The sequence below is a fragment of the Homo sapiens genome, chromosome 15, assembly GCF_000001405.40.
Source record: "Homo sapiens chromosome 15, GRCh38.p14 Primary Assembly".
Classification (NCBI taxonomy): Eukaryota; Metazoa; Chordata; class Mammalia; order Primates; family Hominidae; genus Homo; species Homo sapiens.
The window spans coordinates 91,272,650-91,292,212 of record NC_000015.10 but is presented as its reverse complement, the minus strand read 5'-3'; the positions used below and the strand labels follow the sequence as shown (position 1 = coordinate 91,292,212).

The 19,563-nt window shown below is 40.5% G+C and overlaps 1 protein-coding gene across 15 annotated transcripts in view, besides 1 other annotated feature; it reads right to left on the bottom strand.

Annotated features, from left to right (window-relative positions):
- The window catches only part of SV2B (synaptic vesicle glycoprotein 2B), a 202,978-nt gene that overhangs the window by 10,353 nt on the left and 173,062 nt on the right, over positions 1-19,563 (bottom strand). For 14 of the 15 annotated variants that reach the window (NM_001323031.2, NM_014848.7, NM_001323032.3 and 11 more), the window contains 3 exons: positions 10,352-10,485; positions 7,992-8,192; positions 2,533-2,692 (listed from right to left, as the gene is read on the bottom strand). In NM_001323031.2, coding sequence (NP_001309960.1) covers positions 2,533-2,692; positions 7,992-8,192; positions 10,352-10,485 — 495 coding nt within the window. The remainder of the gene's footprint in view (positions 1-2,532; positions 2,693-7,991; positions 8,193-10,351; positions 10,486-19,563) is intronic. The other variant, NM_001323034.3, reaches the window with a different exon arrangement.
- Positions 200-494: an enhancer, noted in NCBI's record as "tiled region #12031; HepG2 Activating non-DNase unmatched - State 22:ReprW, and K562 Activating DNase matched - State 4:PromP". NCBI's record gives its function as "activates a minimal TATA promoter and a strong SV40 promoter by Sharpr-MPRA in HepG2 and K562 cells {active_cell/tissue: HepG2 | K562}" and the evidence as "EXISTENCE:reporter gene assay evidence [ECO:0000049][PMID:27701403]".

The following is a 19,563-nucleotide window of genomic DNA, read 5'->3' as shown; positions in this document are numbered from 1 at the left end:
AAATACAGAATAATATAAAGATGCATGGATATCTAACCTCTTCACCGAGACACAATCACCTCTATTAACATTTTGAAGTATTTTCTTCAAGTGTTTTTCTTTTTTGTTTTTTTTTCAAAGATATCTATTTAAAACATTTTTATAGGTACTACATGCTTACTATGGAAATCTTGAAAGGATGAAGAAGTATACAAAGCAGAAAGTGTAAGTGTTCCCCCTTTTAACACTCTCAACCCTCCTGAAGCAGAGACTGCCAGTTGCCCACAAACAGCATTTCCCCAAATGTAGGACTACATTTCCCAGACTGATTTGCTGCTGAGCATGGCCATGTGACTTAGTTTTGGCCAATGGGATGTAAGTGCAAGTGGCAGCAGTTCCCAAGAAGCTTCCGTAAGAGACGTTGCGGGTGGGCCTTTTGCTCTGTTCCCCTTCATTCTTTTCCTTCTATCCTGCTTCATGATGGAACACAGATGGTTTCATTTTGGACCATGATGAGTCCATGCAAGGAAAAACAATGAGATAGAAAGAGCCTGCACCACCCACTCTAGACTTTTTCAGGAAAGAAAAATGCAATGCTTAACCTTCTTAAGACCACAGTTACCTGAGGTTGCTGTCAGCAACAGCAAAACCTAATCCTAATTATGATCTTTCAATCACACTTTCCAGTGAGAACTATTACTAATCATTTATTCTTTCATGACCCCATCTGTATGCAGAGGCAATATTCCCAATGCTACCTCTCCCCAACTGAAATAAAGCGTTTCTTTCTCATACCACAAGTTTATTAAGAGTGTGGGTATATTTTTGTTCTTAAAACTCTTCTTTCATTTTTGTCTATAACTGTACCACACTGTAGCTTTATATTCATCAACCCAGTCTTTTTTGTTTGTCTTAGTATCTTTGTTTTTGTATTTTCTTGGATCTTTTAACATATGTCCTTTTTTAAATAAACTTTTTTCAAGTTCCCAGAGGGGAAAAAAAACTTGTTGAATTTTGAATGAATTATTTTATGTTAGAAAAAAAACTAAATAAAAATTGACGTTTTTGTAAGATTGAATCTTCTTATCCAAAATTAGGTATATCTTGTCTTTTAAATATATATATTTATATATAATAATGTATACTAATTATATGTTATTAATTATATGTATTATCATAATTATATATAAATATATAATCCATAAATATATACATTTTCTGAGACAGGGTCTGTCTCTGTCACCCAGGTTGGTGTGCAGTGTTGTGATCCTAGCTCACTGTAACCCTGAAACCCCGGGGCTCTCGCAGCTCTCCCCCTCAGCCTCCTGAGCAGCTAGGACTACAGGCACATGCCACTATGCCTGGCTAATTGTCTAATATATTCTGTAGAGATAGGGGTCTCACTGTATTGCCCAGGCTGATCTTGAACTCCAGCCTTCAAGCAATCCTTTTGCCTCGGCCTCCCAAATCACTGAGTTGGCATATATTTATCTTCTCTTATGTGTCTTTTTTTATATCTCTTAGTAAAGCTTTATGGTTTTCTTCATTTGAGTGTTTCACTTGTCAAGTTGATCCCTAATTATTTTATGACGTCTGCCATTATTAAATGGATATCAATTGCATCTTTAACTTTTTCGATATATTTTAAAACCTATACATAATTTCGTTTTATTACTGACCACCTGACCACATTGTCTTTTTGTCTATAGTGGTCTCATAAGTTAATTCTCTTAGGATTCCTAGATGTAAAATCACATCATATTCAAATAATAATCATTTGTCCTCCTGTTATTTTGTGTAAAACTTAGCAGTTCTTTGATTCAAATGAGAGGGGCTCCAAATATGACACGTTGTGCTCTTCCTTAGTTATCTATATCCCAATACCTCTGTCGCCAATTTTGGAAATATCATTAAGGTTTTTGCAGAATTTCATTTACCCACCTTCCTTACCTCTTCACATTCCTTTTTGACCACAGGGCCTCTTATCTTCTCCTTTAAACTTTACAATTCCCCTCCACGAAGAAAAACAATTACTAAGTAATGGCCTTGATCCTATGCCTTTAAACAAGGCCTCTTCCCATATACGACCTGTGCAAAATAAAAGTAACCCCTGGGCCTCCCTGCCACATTCTCTGCAGATTCCCTGGACTTCATGCTGCCTCCCGACCTTTATTTCTCTCCTTGCCCCCACCCTGTGCTATTCCAGCTCTTCACTTTTTTGCCTTATCTCCCCTTGAAGGTCTGTTCTCTCTTGTGGATTACATGACACATATGGTTTTACCAACTTTTCACTCTTATTTCCTTCTCCTGGACATAGTTTGCTCCCATCCTTTGCTTCTTGCCATCTTTCCCACCCTATCCAAGCCCTAGCCTGCCAACTTTCAGGTCTATGCCATCCACCATGCAGGAGAAGCTCAACATAAAAGATGTTTGTTTCACGGAACAGCAGAAAGACCACGATGGCCATGCACAGCATGAGATTTAGGGAGCAGGTAGACTTCTGGCCAAAGAAGCCCAAACAAGTCCCTGAGGAAAGCCTGGGGAAGAACTGACCTCTGGTTGGTGGGATACAGCTCCACTGTGATCACATCCAGAGCATTCCAGGCTGCAATGCTTGTCCCACAGAACAGGCACTGCCAGCCGATCATTGCAGACTCACTGTTGCCAAAAAACAGGAAGAAGCAGCAGACTGCAGAGATTAGCATGGAGCCACCTGCAGAGGGAGTTCAAGGGCAAAAAGAAACATGAGGCCTGTGTCTTGCACATGGCTGTCACTCACAGTTCTTGCCCCATCTCCCACCCTCACTGGTACACCTGAAGCCAAGGCTGCCTGAAGTATTAGGTTCACCCTCCACACAGAGAGAGCACAGCTGGAATCCTCACAAGGCACCCCAGACATGGCATTAGAGCCCTCTGCGTGGGTCAGATCACCAGACTTAGGAAGGATTCTGAAGTCACCACTCTAAGGTGGTGCCCAGCTCAGAGTGACGGGACGGGGCAGATAGGGGCATTTGTTGAGAATCTATTATGTACCAGACATTGTTCTAGGTGCTTGAGCTACATCAGTATTGGCCAAAAAACAAAAACAAAAACCTCAGTCTTGATTTGAAACCAGGATGTCAAAGAGATCTGTGCTTCTTGTTCAATGTAGCAATATTCACAATAGTCAAAATATGGAGTCAACCTAAGTGGCCATCAACAGATGAGTGGATAAAGAAAATGTGGTTTACATACACAATGGGATACTACTCAGACATTAAAAAGAAAGGAATTCTGGCCTATAATCCCAGCACTTTGGGAGGCCAAGGTGGGTGGATCACTTGAGGTCAGGAGTTCGAGACCAGCCTGACCAACATGATAAAACACTGTCTCTACGAAAAAGACAAAAAGTAGCCAGACCCGGTGGTGCACACCTGTAATCCCAGCTACTTGGGAGGCTGAGGCACGAGAATTATTTGAAGCTGGGAGGCAGAGGTTGCAGTGAGCCGAGATGGCGCCACTGTACTCCAGCCTGGGTGACAGAGCAAGACACTGTCAAAAAAAGAAGAAAGAGAAAAAGAAGGAAGGAAGGAAGGAGAGAGAGAGAGAGAAAGAAAGAAGAGAGAAAGAGAGAGAGAGGAAGGAGAAGAAAAGAAAGGAATTCTGCCATTTATGACAACATGGATGAACCTGGAAGGCAGGATGCTAGATACAGTCCATGGGGTAAACCAGGCACAGAAACATCTGCATCATCTCACTTTTCGAGATCTACTACACAGCACGGTGACTACAGTTACTAACAATGTATTGTATATTTCAAAATTGCTAAGAGAGTAAATTTCAAATATTCTCACCACAAAACATATATATGTGTGGTGATGGATATGTTAATTAGCTTGACTTAATCATTCCACATCGTATATATGCATGAAAATATCACATTGTACCCCATCAAAATATACAATTATAATTTATCCATTAAAAATAAAAAAATAATTTTTTAAAAAAATCCATTCTCATGGAGCTTATAACCTGGTGAGAACACACCTGTACATGGGCTATTGAAGGGAAACCTGAAGAAAGGCGGTGCTATTCCCCATTTACCCGAATCCCCACCCCAGAGATCTGACTTGCCCTTCTCAGCCCTGCGCTATCCTCTGTACATGTGCTCTGTACATACCCTCTACACGCTAACCCCATGGACTTTCTTATCAGTTGGGAGGGGAAGGTGGCTGGAGTACCCCTCCCCAACTCCTCCCCGGGGGTAGAAGGCCTTTTCTGGCAATGTCTGCATCCCTCCAAGACCCCAGTTCCTCCCAGGTAGCTCTTGCTCCACGGCTCCAGCCCCCATGGAGCTCTGTGAGTGCAATTATCCCCCCTTGTCCTCACAGCCATAGAGGTGGTGACTGCTTCTCACTTTTGCTAGTGTCTGGGTGCCTCACCTGCCTTATTTGTTTCCATAACCCTTTCCACACCTCTAAAAGCTCTATGAGTAAAGTTTCCTCACTAGAACTATCTGGGGTGAATCCCTTTTCCCCTCCAGGAATCTAAGTATGCAGTCCATGAGGTTAGCCTCGCAGGGCTCCCAGCAGGGCGGAGAAGTCCAGCTCAGAACTCTGGGGTGGGGATGGGAGTGAACAGAAAATGAGCAGCACAGCCCTTATAGAGCTGATAGGAGATCCCATCCAAAGAAGACTGTCAAATGCTGCCCAATTCCAGTAAGTTCAGCCCGGAGGACCTTGAGATGCAAGCTCCAAGTCCAAGGTGGATGCAGAACATGGCAAAACAGGTTGCAGACTAGAAAAGTGACTGGCAATGAGGTGGAAATAGGGTGAGCAGAAAGGTGGGAAGGAAGCAGGTCTCAAACAACCAACCGGGACACAGGGCACGAGTGCCCCACCAGGCACCAGGACCCTGCAGGAGGAAGGTTTTCCAGTTGTCAAGAAGCCAGAGGCTGACCTGGCCTCAATAAGAAACACCTCCCCAGGGACGGTCCTCAGCCCGGAGTGTCACCCTCAGACCTGGGGCTGCAAGACTAGTGCCAATCCTTGCTGATGAACTAGGAAATGATAACTGTCCAACTGGATTCTGCCCACTTTGGGAAGTGGTAGGGCTGTGAGCAGGTGCCTGGTAACCTTTTTCCAAAAGCTAGGAGAGAACTAGAACAGGGGAAACTGGCATCTACAGGACCCCCAAGTGCTCTGTGGACAATACCCTCTACATGCATGCATCCCTCAGAGGGGCCAGCCATGGGGCTTGGCTTACAGTAAATGCTGGCAAACACTTCATAACCACAAAACATGATGATCTGACACATCAGCTAATAGTCAGGGAGGCCTTCCCTGATCCTTCAACTCTGTTAGGTGTTCCTGCTATAAGTCCCCAGGGCCCAGTGTACTTCCACTTCCATAATTCTTATTCCTCTGGTAATTGGGAGGCCTGGGTGCAAATGCCGGCTTATTTACTACCTGTGTGACCGTGAGTGAGTTGCTTCACCTTTCTGTGAGCTGTCTCACTGTCCCCATCTCTAAAATGTTGATTAAAATGGCGCCTACCTCATAGGGTTATTGTGAGGGTTCCATGTGTTAATATTGAACACATGTTCAATATTCATAATATTCAATAATAATAATATTCAATAACAATAAGCATGTCATAGTGTTTAGGTAAATGAAATTTCTAGTCGAAGTCTGCCTCTCCCAATAGATCATTTGCGCCTTAAGCACAGGGATACTGTCTGTCTCAATTACTGTTGCATTCCCATTGCCTCCCACACAGCCTTGAGAGAATAACTACTGCATAAATAAATGTTATTGGATGAATAAATGAGTGGGTAGCAGCCTAATCAGGAAAACTTCTACTCCGCTGATAACAAGAAATGACTTGCACACTACAAAGAGCCCAGCAGATTAAGCAGAACAAAAATGTGCTTGCAGATTTTCTAGTGGGGTTGGTCTGAGAGGTGGGGATAGGGCTATTTCAAAGTGGTTCCGCCACATCCCATATCCTAGTGAAATAGATATCAGCTGAGCACCTTGTCTTTACCATGCACTTGCCAATGTCACAGCCGACCCACTGCATGTAGGCCTTTTACTAAAGATTGAAGGGTAGAGAGACAAAGAAGGTCCTGTCTCAGCTCTTAACAAGCTTGCCTCTAGCGCAGAAACAAAACAGAGACATTCACAAGAGAGTAGGCTATAAGGAATGATTAAATATTAGTTCTAGATCTCTCATTCGAGAGCGTGCCTTTATTTAGCATTATAGGAATTGTTTTGATCTGGGATGTATTCACGATGATACGAAGGGCTTCAGTGGTGAGGGAAAGGATGTCTGTTGTCTCACCGTCCCGCCTGCCCCTGTGCCCAGCCACACCCCCACCCCACTTCTGTGAGGGGGCATGTGGCAGGTCCTTAGGCGGTGGGCTGTTCTCGTCGACATGGGCACCCACCCCAGCCTTATAACCCTGCCTCCCCCAGAACTTCCTCAGCTGCTTCATGAACAGACCAGAGACTCCATTGGTAAACTCTGGGACTCATAAGGCTGGTGACAAATGGCGGAAGTGTCTCATGTCTGCTCTCACACCCCTTATCTCACTGAGGCAAACAGAGGTATTATTTTAACAATGAAAATGGAAGCTCAAAGAAGTAAAGGAACGTGGGTCCACACATAAAGCTAATCTTGGCAGAGACGGAGCCACCTGACTCCCAGCCAAAGTGTTTTTAAGATGCCAACCTGTAGTGTCTTCTGCTGAAAGCTTGGTGTTTGGGGCTAACCTAGGAAAGAGGCCATCTTCTTCCGTTCTGATCAGTTCAGCAGCATTGCTGAGTGTCAACTCTACTGCAGGCACTGCGCTGGACACGGGTTATGGACGAGTAAGCCATTGTCCCTTCCCCCATAGGGCCTCAAGACTACCCAGGCACTGCCTCTAATAGAGGAGAGCATGAAGTCTGCCATATCTAAGAGATGACTCCACCCTCACCACAAGATTAAAAAGCTGAAGTCACAGGCAGTTCTCACGCTTACCACGCTGAATATGCATGCTACTATTTATAATAGTGATATTCAGTATGAGCCAAATGCCAGGAAAAGAATTCCTTCCCATGAAGACCTGATCAATTTTCTCTTCTCCAACAAAATGACTTTATGATTTATTGTGTTTCCTTTTGCACGTTGCTGCTAGGAAGCTTCGTATTAACTTTCCTAATCAACGTCAACCCTAACGCAGGTCCCTAATGGCATGTTTATTAATAATGTGTTGTCCACTTCCCCACCCCTGGCCTTGACTCATATTCTAATGTGCATTTCCCCTGGTCCTCAATCTGTACATTTTGCTTCTTGTTTACCATTCATGGCATGTGTTTCTGTAATAAATTGCTGCAAGTCCCGATGGAATGAGGCAAGGCATACATGAATATAGCTACCATTTTTGAGAACCGACGATGTGCCAAGTGTTACAGGTACCTTATGTTCAATTCTCACAAAACCCTACCAGCTGGATGTGGAAAATCATTCTCTTATAAATAAGGAAACTGAGGCCCAGAGAAGTAAAGGAACACATTCAAGGTCAAACAGCCTTTCGGTGATAGGATTTCAACATGACTCTGTCCAACTCCAAAGCCTAAAGTGGTATTGCTATTAAATAATAAAAGTAACACAATTTATCTTCAAACATCAAACCATCACCCAGGAGCATTTTATATATTTTTCTGACAATAATCGGATGAAGAGGCAGGGTGGATATTATTACTACCCTTATTGAAGTGCTAATAGATTAAATGACTGTCACAGAATTTCTCTGTCAGGAAATGAACAAAAGTCCCTCGCCTAGACCAAAGATTCTTGACTATTTCCCAGGAGCCCTGGAGTCTTCTGTAGGCACACATCCTTGGCTCTATAGCCCTGGGTGCAATCTTACTTGTTGGGTTTGTTGTGCAAGAATTATTTAATAAAAGGGAAAATTTCCCTGTTTAATACACTTGAAAGTCACCACCCCAGCGCGTTGGAACCCAGGAATGACCCTGCTGGCAACTCACCAATCATCTTGAGCCTTCCAATTCTATCCATGAGCAGGGCAGAAATGATGTTCCCGGGTAAGACAGACAGGCTGCCCAGGAAGCTGACGAGGTAAATCAGGAAGTCATTATCTTGCTCCAAGTCCATGTGGCAGCCCTCCTTCTGCTCCAGGAAGGTGGAGTTGATAAACCGACAGTTGATGAACTTGTGCTCGTAGAGGTCTGGGGAGAGAAGGAAACCTTCGGTTCATGTAAGTGGAAGGGAGCTGGAGAGAGAAAGGCAGAGGCAGGGATGAAGTCTGCCCCCTCCTGTAGGCAGGCTGTGCCAGCCTTTGCCAGTCAGACAGCCTCAAAGTCAAGGTAATATGTGGCCATGTCATCAAGGTATGGATGAGGAGAGAAACTTCCAAAAATGTAATGACCTGTTCAAGTTCCTAAAAGCAAGGGGAAATTAAACTAACATTGAGAGACTTCAAAATGCATCCTCTCAGCCAGGTGTAGTGGCCCACATCTGTAATCCCAGCACTTGAGGAGGCCGAGGTAGGAGGATCACTTGAGCTCAGGAGTTCAGGACCAGCCTGGGCAACACAGTGAGACCTTATCTCTACAAATAAATAAATAAATAAAATTTTCTTTTAAATTAGCTAGGTGGGGTGGTGTGTGCCTGTAGTCCCAGCTACTCTGGCACCTGAGGCAGGAGGATCACTTGAGCCCAGGAGGTCAAGGCTACATTGAGCCATGGTCATGCCACTGCATTCCAGCCTGGGCAAAAGAGGGAGACCTTGCCTTTAAAAAAAAAAAAATCATCTCTCCAGCTGGATAACAGTCCTGTTTGTACCAATCAGGTGACACTGAGACACTGAGGGCCACGGCAGCTAGGCCTCTCCTTGGAGGCTACCTGGCATAGGGGAGCAGAACACAAGAGAGTTGGTTCCAGATGGAGCCGATCACTCCAGAGCCCATGCTGTAGTCTGTGCCAAAACCTGAACATTCTTAAAAAATAAAAGCCATTTGCATTGGAACCAGTTTGCAAGTCTTCTGACACCTTCTAAGATCAGCTGTTCTGACAGAAAAAGTACTAAACAGGCTCCCTAGAAACCTGCGTTTGGGGAGCTGGCCCTGCTGCTGACCCTCTTTAACCTCCCTGAGGCTCTACCTACAAAATCTACAAAATTGGAAGAGTGCACATGATCATCTCCACTGCTTCTCCCAGCTCTGACATTTCCTGACTACACGTGTTTGCAAGAATCTCCATGGTAAGAGTATTCAAATGAGGAGGCATCATTCAAACTTGAAATCATAAAACAATATGCCAGTTTCTAATGACACTTATTAAACTTCCGGAACTCATTATTGTTTCAAGATCAGTCTAAAAGGAAATTCAGGAAGGTTAGTGCCAGAATGAATTATTAAGAGACTCCAGAATATTTAGAGACCAGATCTTGAAGCTCTTGAGGCTGATATCATAGAGGAAAAAGATGTTCTTATATAAACTATCCCTTGCTGCTGATGCCAAGAATAAAGCATAGATCTGGACATAATGCAAGTAGTTCTGTGGAAAGATTGCAGGCTTCAGAGCCAAACAACTGAGGAATGAATCCAAACTCCTTCCACTTGCTAACCACGGCCTTGAGCAAGTTGCTTAAGTCTTGATTTCCTTAACTCAGTTTCCTTAGCTATAAGAGAAGGATTAAAAAAAAATAGTACATTTCTCCCTTGAGACAATGTAGGTAAAGCCCCCTAATGAAGCTCAGTTGGTTTCCTTATACCCCGACTTCACTTGGTATGTTATTAATTTATGATGAGGGTAGTAAAAGTAACAAGAAGAGGTGTAGTGGTAGAATTTTGGGACTTTTTAAATCACAGAAATCTGAAATAGTATGATTTTAAAATAGTCTTTGTATTTCACTTTATGCAAAAAATGTGAACAGATGTAATTTTCCCTTTCCATTTATTATTGTGAGAACATGAGTCTTGCATTTTGCAAGTTTCAAATTGTGCAAGGTCTTCAAGAATGCATTCCGTGCATAAAATGCAGCCCTCCTGGAATGCCAGTTGTTATTTGTGTCATCCTTTGTTCATACCAAAGACCCTTCGTGTATAGCATCAGCCTCACTGACATGAGGACATTTGGCTACAACTTTTGTTTCCATTTCATTTGTGATAAAACTGAGACGCAGATACATTAAATGCCTTAGCAAAGGCTGTGCACCTAATTTGTGCCATGCCTGGGGCTAAAATCCATTTCCCCACCAAGGCTTGGCATTTGTATCTACGAATACTTTCCTACTCCTAAAGTTTATGCCTGACCATTTTGATTCTTGGACAACACAAGTTGTCTCCTGTTACTTTCTATTCAATCTGTCAATGTTCTTACCTACCTGTGTTGTAAAAGATGGTTGATTCAATGGTACAATTTTTGAAGTAGGTATCTGTTGATGTTACGTCTTCAAAATAGCACTCGTCAAAGAATGTGTCCTCAAAGAGTACATGTTTAAAGTACATTCTTGTGAACCTGTGGGAAGAGGTTGACCCTTGAGTGATTCATCTGAGAAAAAAAGAGACTTAAGACCAAAATGGAAAACACAGCAAGGCAGAAAAAGGAGATGTGCAAGCAAAAGGTGCCAGAGCATTATTTTCAACCCAGACCACTTCCCCACTTCTTAGCTGTTTGTTTATTAGTGGGGAAGGGCTTCAGGACCTGGAAGCCAGTGTCTAGCGTAGGTGCATACGGAGTGCTATGCACCAACCTGCTGGTTTTCAAAGGCAGGTCCACGGACCTTCTAAGTCAGAATCACAGAAATGTGAAATAGTGTGAAATTTAAATATTAATAACACCTCACTTTCTGAGACATTTTTAAAACATGCAGGTCCCTGGAGTGGTCCTAGAAGTTTTGGAAGCCATAGAATTGTGAAGGTCTGAGAATCTTCATTTTTAAAAAAATTGTCCCAACAAAGATGTGGGGAAATAGGCCTTTCATTCATACTATTGGTAGAATATAATCCATGCAGCCTCTTTGGGGAGCAATTTTGCAAAATTTGAAATGCACGTTCTCTTTGACCTAGGAATACCACCTCTAGGAATTTATCCTACACATACTTGCCCATGTATTCAAAGAGATACATTCACTGATCTTCATTGTAACACTGCTTGTAACAACAATGGATTACTACATACATACATATGTAATAGATGCCATATAATGGAATACCATGTAGCCATCGTAGTAAATGAGGTAGATCTATATGTGTTAATATGGAATAATCTTTAAGATATATTGTTAAGTTAAAAAATCAAGATGCAACATAGAGTTTACAAGACAGGCTCATTAAGGTAAGAAAGGGCATGGATACATATGCTTCCAAATATATCTGGAGAGCTACACAAGAAACTGATAGAAACGGTTGTTTCCAGGGAGGCACAATGGAAGTGAGGAATAATACACTTAATTTTCACTTTATGCCAAGCGTATGTATTATGTGTTCACTTTTTTTTAAAACTCAGTTAAAAAGACAATAAGGCACCTAGACGATTCTGAGGCGCAGCCACATGTGGGAGTCACTGCACCTCTCCAACTCCTGCATATTTAATAGGAAAGAACAATGCAACATTTAAAAATGTATCTCACATACATTACCATCTTCCTCTGTTGGCTATATTTAACAAGCTTGGTCAAACTTTTAGGCTGGAAGCCTTTAAATATGTCTTCATTTGCAAATAATTACAACACTTTCTTTCATTCTTCTATTCATTCACTTACATATTTAGTCTTCTGCAAACACTGAGCATGGTACTAGGTGCTATGAGTATAGAGAGGAAAGTCATGGTCCCTGCTCTCCAGTCTAATTGGAAAAAAGTGCAAGCAAATAGGCAACTACAATACAGTGGAAATCGGCATGACAGAGATAGCACAGGGTGCTGATGGCCATTGTTCCTTTTCAAAAGGGCCACCAAATAATTCACTCCATGACCACCTACAATGGGCCAGTGACCCTTATCCTTCATGCTCTATCATGTCCTGCTCAGAACCTTAATCTAGAGCTGCCAATCATTAGCTTCTGCTAAAAGACCCCACACAAGAAGTCCCGGGCAAGTGTTCACCAAAAGCAGGACCCCAGACCACTTGCATCAGAATAAACTTGAGGTTATTATTAAAGATGTCATTTCCTAAATTCCAGCCTACACCTCTTGAACCAGAATCACCAATGGCAGAGACCAGATTATTATACTTAAAGAAATTTGAGAATCATTGGTCTAGAAAACCAAACTATTTTGAGAAATTTTTCTTAGGGCCAAATTTGCTACAGACTTTTAAACAGGGGCCTCCAAAAGCTATCACTAAATTCTTCAGATTTCCATGGGAAAACTAATTGGTGAGTCTTTTGTTACAAGAAGATGCCTCTGATGTCAAAATGTATAAGCTAGACGTGTTTACTTAAGAGAGCTATTCCTGGAGACTGTTGCAGACCTTTGCTTTTCTTAATATATCCTTCTCTCTAATATAGTAATAGGCTGCTGATGTAGCCTTGGGTGATATTTTAATATTCTTCCCAGGGTGTCTGAGAAGGCAGAGCCATAAATCATAAATGGGTCTGACGCAGGCAGCCCTTAAAATGTCTCTCCAAGTCAGTTAGAAAAAGCCAGAGTTATAAGGGAAGAGATAAAAGGAGAAAGGGCCAACACATATTTTATGACGCTCTACATAAATCATCTCCTCCGATCTCCAGCCTATATACTGAATTGGCCTACCCAAGATTCTTGATTCAGGAGAGTTCAAAAGATGAAAGAAATGTTAGCAACAGTACTTTGTAAGCTTTTCCTTTAAGGCAACAGAAGCCATTGGCAATCCAAGGTCCATGACAAAATTGTCATTACATACACTTTGTTTCAGTTGCCTTCAGGCCCAATGGTTAGTCCAGCAAGTGATTTAAGCTACACCAAAGTCACATTCAACATGTGTTAGGCTTGAGGGCATCACCCTAAAGAAATTCAGTCTAATTAAAGAGATAAACAAGAAAACCAGCCATTAAAATTTAGTGTGATGATTATCAAGATAGAGGTATGCTATAAAACCACTTCTAAGGGGACACTTGTGATCCAGTTGGGTAAAGTATGAGGTGACTCACCCTGAAGGAAGAGTGAAAGCTCTCTAAGCAAAGATAAGGACATGTATTCCAGACAGAGGGAAAAGCATGTGCAGACACAGATGCATGTCATATATACTCTTCAATTGCCTTTTTTGAAAGCAGAGAATTCTCTTTCACGTAAATTACATCGTCATTTAAGGAGAAAATAAATAAAGGCTACGGCTCCCCAAAGTTCACACACATAAATATTTTAATAAGCTCTCTAGCCACCATGAAATGAAATAGAGTTCTTAAGAACAGGCACCCCGGCTTCTCACATATTACCTTAGATCAGGTCCTAATCTGAGGTAAATCAAAAGACAAATAAGAGGATCACTTCAGAAAATATGTACTTGGGCCTAATTTGCTTAAAGAAAAGAGGAAACAAATTCTTGCCTGAATATCTGTGTAACTTCTTTTTTTTTTTTTTTTTTTTTGAGACGGAGTCTCGCTCTGTCGCCCAGGCCGGACTGCAGTGGCGCAATCTCGGCTCACTGCAAGCTCCGCTTCCCGGGTTCACGCCATTCTCCTGCCTCAGCCTCCCGAGTAGCTGGGACTACAGGCACCCGCCACCGCGCCCGGCTAATTTTTTGTATTTTTTTAGTAGAGACGGGGTTTCACCTTGTTAGCCAGGATGGTCTCGATCTCCTGACCTCATGATCCACCCGCCTCGGCCTCCCAAAGTGCTGGGATTACAGGCGTGATGTGTAACTTCTTACATTCTCCAGGTGTAGGGGTCAGGCCTTCACCCAACCTGTGATGCCACCCTCCAAAAAATGAAGAGTCTAACTTTCAGAACTTAACCACCAGGAGCCCTCAAACAATTTTCTTCTCCTCTCGAAGCCCGCATTTAAAAAAATCTATAAAATAGGGGTGTTGAGAAGATGGCTCTTTTTGCAGCTCTAGCATGGTTCCATAAACGGGGCGTACTTTTACTGTGTGTAGCCCCAAGAAAGAAATAAAAGAGTGGACTTAGGAGATGGCCATCTTACTTCCTCAAATACTGAAATATTATCTCATGAAGAATCAGAAAATGTTCATGATGGGAAATCCTGGTGCCAACGTCAACCAAATAGCGTAAGGACATACATTCTTGTGCCTCAGTGAGTCTGGCAATAAAATCCAACTTCCCCTCTCTTTCTTTTCTTACACTCAAAGATACCTGAGTGGTGAAATCACGATACTTCACTCTGTCTCCTTTACAAAGATCCTAGCACATTTACTGCCTTTAGGAACGATAACTGAAGCATAGAACATAGAACAAAAAGGGAAATAATAAGGATATAAACATTAAATTAGCAAGAGAAAAATAGTAGAACAAATTCATATATAAATATAGTTAGAAACATCCTAAGTCAAACACTAATTTAGCCATGCCAAAATCTGGAAACAATTCAAAGATCCCTTCAACAGGTAAATGGATAGACAAAATACAGTAATACATTCAAATCATGGAATACTACTCCACAATAAAAATAAACTACTAAAAATGCAATAACATGGATAAATTCCAAATGCATTATGCTAAGTAAAAGAAGCAAATTCAAAAGGCTTCCTATTGTATAATTCCATGTAAGTAACATAAAGAAGATCATTGGCTGCCAAGGACTGGGGATGGAGAAAGGGCTGACCACAAAATGGCATGGGGAAATCCAGGAGGTAATGGAATTGTCCTGTATCTTGCTTGTGTTGATGGTTACATGACTGCATGCCTTTGTCAAAACTCACAGTGCTGTATACTAAAAGGGGTAAATTTACTGTACATAAATTATTCCTCAATAAAAAAGGAAGTTTCAAAAAGTTTCTAAGGTAACCATAGCTAAAACAAAATCCAAACCAAGCTCAACTACTGCCTAGATTTTCTTAACCTCCCCACATACTGTTAAAACCTAGCAAAAGAGGTGTACACATTTTTTAGTCCCTACTGTCATACAAAACATCTGACTTGCAACCCAACATTACAAGACATACAAAGAAGCAAGAGTAAAACAACATCATATCAAGACATAATCACTTAAAAAATAATACTCAGTTGGGAGGCCAAGGTGGGCAGATCACCTGATGTCGGGAATTTGAGACTAGCCTGACCAACATGGAGAAACCCCGTCTCTACTAAAAATACAAAAAATTAGCCAGGTGTGGTGTTGCATGCCTGTAATCCCACTTATTCAGGAGGCTGAGGCAGCAGAATCACTTGAACTGGGAGGCAGAGATTGCGGTGAGCTGAGATCATGCCATTGCGCTCCAGTCTGGGCAACAAGAGCAAAACTCTGTCTCAAATAATAATAATAATAATAATAATAATAATAACAACAACAATAATATAAATACTGGAACTATCAGGCAGGGAATTTAATATAATTATTATTAACATATTAAAGCCTTAAAGGAAAAAATGGTTAACACGCATGAGCAGTTGAGAAATTCCAGCAAAAAGATGCAAGCTATAAGATTCAGAAAGAAACGCTAGAATTGTTTTAAATAATGTAACAGATATTAAGAATGTCGTTGATAGACTCATTATTAGGCTCATCATGGCAAAAACAAAGGATTACTGGAGTTATAGATAACTCAAAAAATATTACCAAAATTGAAACATAAAGAGAAAAATAAGGGAAGAAACAGAGAAAAACATCTAAGAGCTATGGGAAAATATCAAACAATCTAACATAGGTGCAATTGGAATTCAAGAAAGATAAGAGAAAGAAGAAGTATTTGGAAAGACAAAGGCAAAGGATTTTCCTAAAGTAATGAAACCAATCAAACCATAAGTTCATAAAACTTATAGAACCTCAATAGAGTAAATCCCAAGAAGAAGGAGGAGAAGGAAGATGAGGAGGTGGCGGTACACCTAAGCACATGATATTCAAATAGCTGAATATCAAATATAAAGGGAAAATCTTGAAGGGAGCAAAAGAAAAAAAATCATGTTACATACAAAAAAATTAATAAATAAAGATAAGAATACAGCAGACTTCTCATCAGAAAGTATGCAAGCCAAAAGACAATAGGGTGAAAGCTTTAAATTTCTAACTGGAAAAAAAAAAAAAACTGTCCACCCAGATTTTATACCCAGCAAAAATATTTTCAAAATTGAAGAGAAGAAACAGATCCATCAGACAAACAAATACTGAGAAAATGTATTGCCATCATAATTTCACTACAAGAAATAGTAACGGGAAGTTCCTCAGGCATAAGAAATATAATACCTATCTACATTTGAAACTTGGATGTTCACAAAGAAATGAAGATCTCTAGAAATGGTTAAGTACATTTTCCTCTTTTTTTTGGAGACAGAGTCTCACTCTGTCACCCAGGCTGGAGTGCAGTGGTGGTATCTCAGCTCACTGCAACCTTCACCTTCCAGGTTCAAGTAATTCTCGTGCCTCAGCCTCCCAAGTAGCTGGGACCACAGGCATGCAACACCATGCCTGACTAATTTTTTGTATTTTTAGTAGAGACAAGGTTTTACCATGTTGCCCAAGCTGGTCTCGAACTCCTGAGCTCAGGCATTCCGCCCACCTTGGCCTCCCAAAGTGCTAGGATTACAGTTGTGAGCCACTATGTCCAGCCTATTTTTCTTCTATTTTTAATCATTCTAAAAGATAGTTCACTGGGTAAAGCAAAAATAGTAGCAATATATCACGTGTTTATAGCATATGTAAAACAAGTATGTATGACAACAATCACATAAAACAGGAGAGAAGAAATGAGTGTTCTGTTGTAAGGCTCTTACACTAAAAGTGAAGTAATAGAATAATACTTGAAGGCACATTATGATTAATTAAAGATGTATATTGTAAGCGCTAAGACACCACTAAATTTTTTACAAAGAGGAATAAGTAATATACCAATAGTGAACGTAAAATGGAATTATGAAAATAATCTAAAAGAGGGTGGGAGAAAAGAAAAAACAAAAAACATGCAAAACAAATAGAAAATAGCCAGCAAGATGATAGGCTATAATTCAACCATATAAATAATTACAATAAGTATAAATGTTCTATACACACGGATTTAAAAATAAAGAGAGTCAGTTTAGGTGGAGAAAGGAAGACCTAACTATATATTAATTACAAGAAATTCACTTAATTATAAAAATATACATAAATTGAAAGCAAAAAAATGGAAAAAGTTATACAAACACTGATCAGAAAGATGCTGGAGATTTAGATAATATCAGATAGTAAACTTAGAACAAAGACTACTATCAGGGATTAAGGGTACATTACATAATGACAAAGGTTTCAATTCACCCGTAACATATAATGGTTATAAATATGTATACACCTAACAACAACAAAAACAAAGTCCTAACACATTTTTATTTCTAAGAATAAAAATCATACAGACTGCATCATCCGGTCATAGCACAAGTATATATAAATGATCAATATTTAACGGTATTTTGACACTTAAAATGCACTTCTAAATAGCTGGTGAGATGAAGAGTGAATATTAATGGAAATTGTATTAGTACAAAAAAGGAGGACTTACAATTACAGATCCAACAGATTTTAAATGTCCTAAGACAAGACGATGAATACTTTTATGCTGATAAATTGTAAAACTTTTAAAATATAATTTTTCAAAACAAGAACTACCGCACCTGAATATACAAATACCATTACAAAATGAATTGGTCATCTAAATGTATTGTCTCCATAGATGGCAGGCTCACTTGGTTATAGAGGCTGGTTTTACCAAACCTTCAAAAAATTAACAATCCCTATCTTATATAGTTTCCTTTAAGGAAAAGAAAGAGAGGACATAACAATGATACCAAAGTTGAACAAGAACAGTATAAGCTAAATATACACCGTATACTACTGGTGAGAGTGCAAATTAATGCAATCCCTTTGGAGAACAATGTTTCCAGCCTTTCACCCAGCAATTCCTCTTCTAGGTACATAGCCTAGAAAAATTCCTTCCTGACAACACTTTTTGCAGCTTTATTTGTAATAGCAAGAAAAGTTTATTAACTACTTAAATGTCCCTCAAAAGGAGAACAGATGGATACATTATGAAATATGCATATAAAAATTTGAATTAAATGACATTGAGTTATATAGTTTTCTCCCCCAACAGAGTATTCTCAAAATCATAATTTTACACAAAAAACAAGTTGCATAATTTATAATAATTATATATCTATACATGTAATATAATATGGTTTTATCTAAATTTTGAAACATTCAAAAGACTGCTGTACAATGTTTATGATACACATGTATATGCAAAAAGTGTAAAAAATGCGTGAATGTAAAGCACCAAACTTATGACAATGGTGATCATGACCTCCGGCGAGGGAGAAGAATATTATCAAAAGGAGTAATGCTTCATCAATTTTGACATCTGGAGTAAACATAGTTTATGATTTTATAAAGCTAGGTGCTCTGAATAGGGCTGCTTATATTATTCTCTCTTCTCTGCATATTTGAAATGTTTTATAATGGAAAAAAAGAGAGGAAAGGAGCCAAAGAACTAGTTACTTGCAGATGATAGGATTATATAACAAGAGAAAAACAGAACTATCAGAGAGCTCAGAGACAAAATAAATATCCAAAACTCAACAGGGGTCTTATTTATTTGCTACAACATGTGCACATGTTTGACAGGGGAAAAGGAATCCAATTTTCAGCAGCCAAAGTACAAACTATCCAAGATGCTCCACAAGAACCATGCAGGACCTGGAGTAAGCTACAGAACTTGGCTGAGAAATGTTATCAACTCTGAAATATGATATACATTCTACATCAATATTATCACATTCTGATGTGGAATCCTAGGCTTAGACAGGTCACAGATTTGCCTAGGTTGGCTCAGCTTGTTATTAAACAATCAAAGCTAGAACCCAGCCTTGGCAACTTTCTGGGATCAAGAAACCAGAAGCTGCATTGACCTGGCCCACCACTGGCATCTTCGAGGAGCTTTACTCTACTGAAATTTAGTCCCACTGCAGTTGAAGAATATTCTTATTTAGAGCCAGGCGTGGTGGCTCATGACTGTAATCCCAACATTTTGGGAGGCCGAGGGGGGCGGATCACTTGAGGTCAGGAGTTCGAGACCAGCCTGGCAAACATGGCAAAACCCCATCTCTACTAAAAGTACAAATACTAGCCGGGCATGGTGGCACGCGCCTGTAATCCCAGCTACTCAGGAGGCTGACACAGGAGAATCGCTTGAACCTGGGAGGCGGAGACTGTAGTGAGCTGAGATCATGCCAATGCACTCCAGACTGGGAGACAGAGTGAGACTCCATCAAAAAAAAAAAAAAAAAAAAAAAAGACGAATATGCTCATTTATCCCCCCTCCCCAAAGGAGCCTTGGCGTGTAACATTTCAGTGTGATGCGTGACAGCAACCTCTGTTCTATTGTGTGTGTGTGTGCTTTCTTCCTCTCTCTGCTCTTCCTGCCCCCTGCTATCCTACCGGCCTCATTTTAGAGCTAAATCTTGTGAACTTCA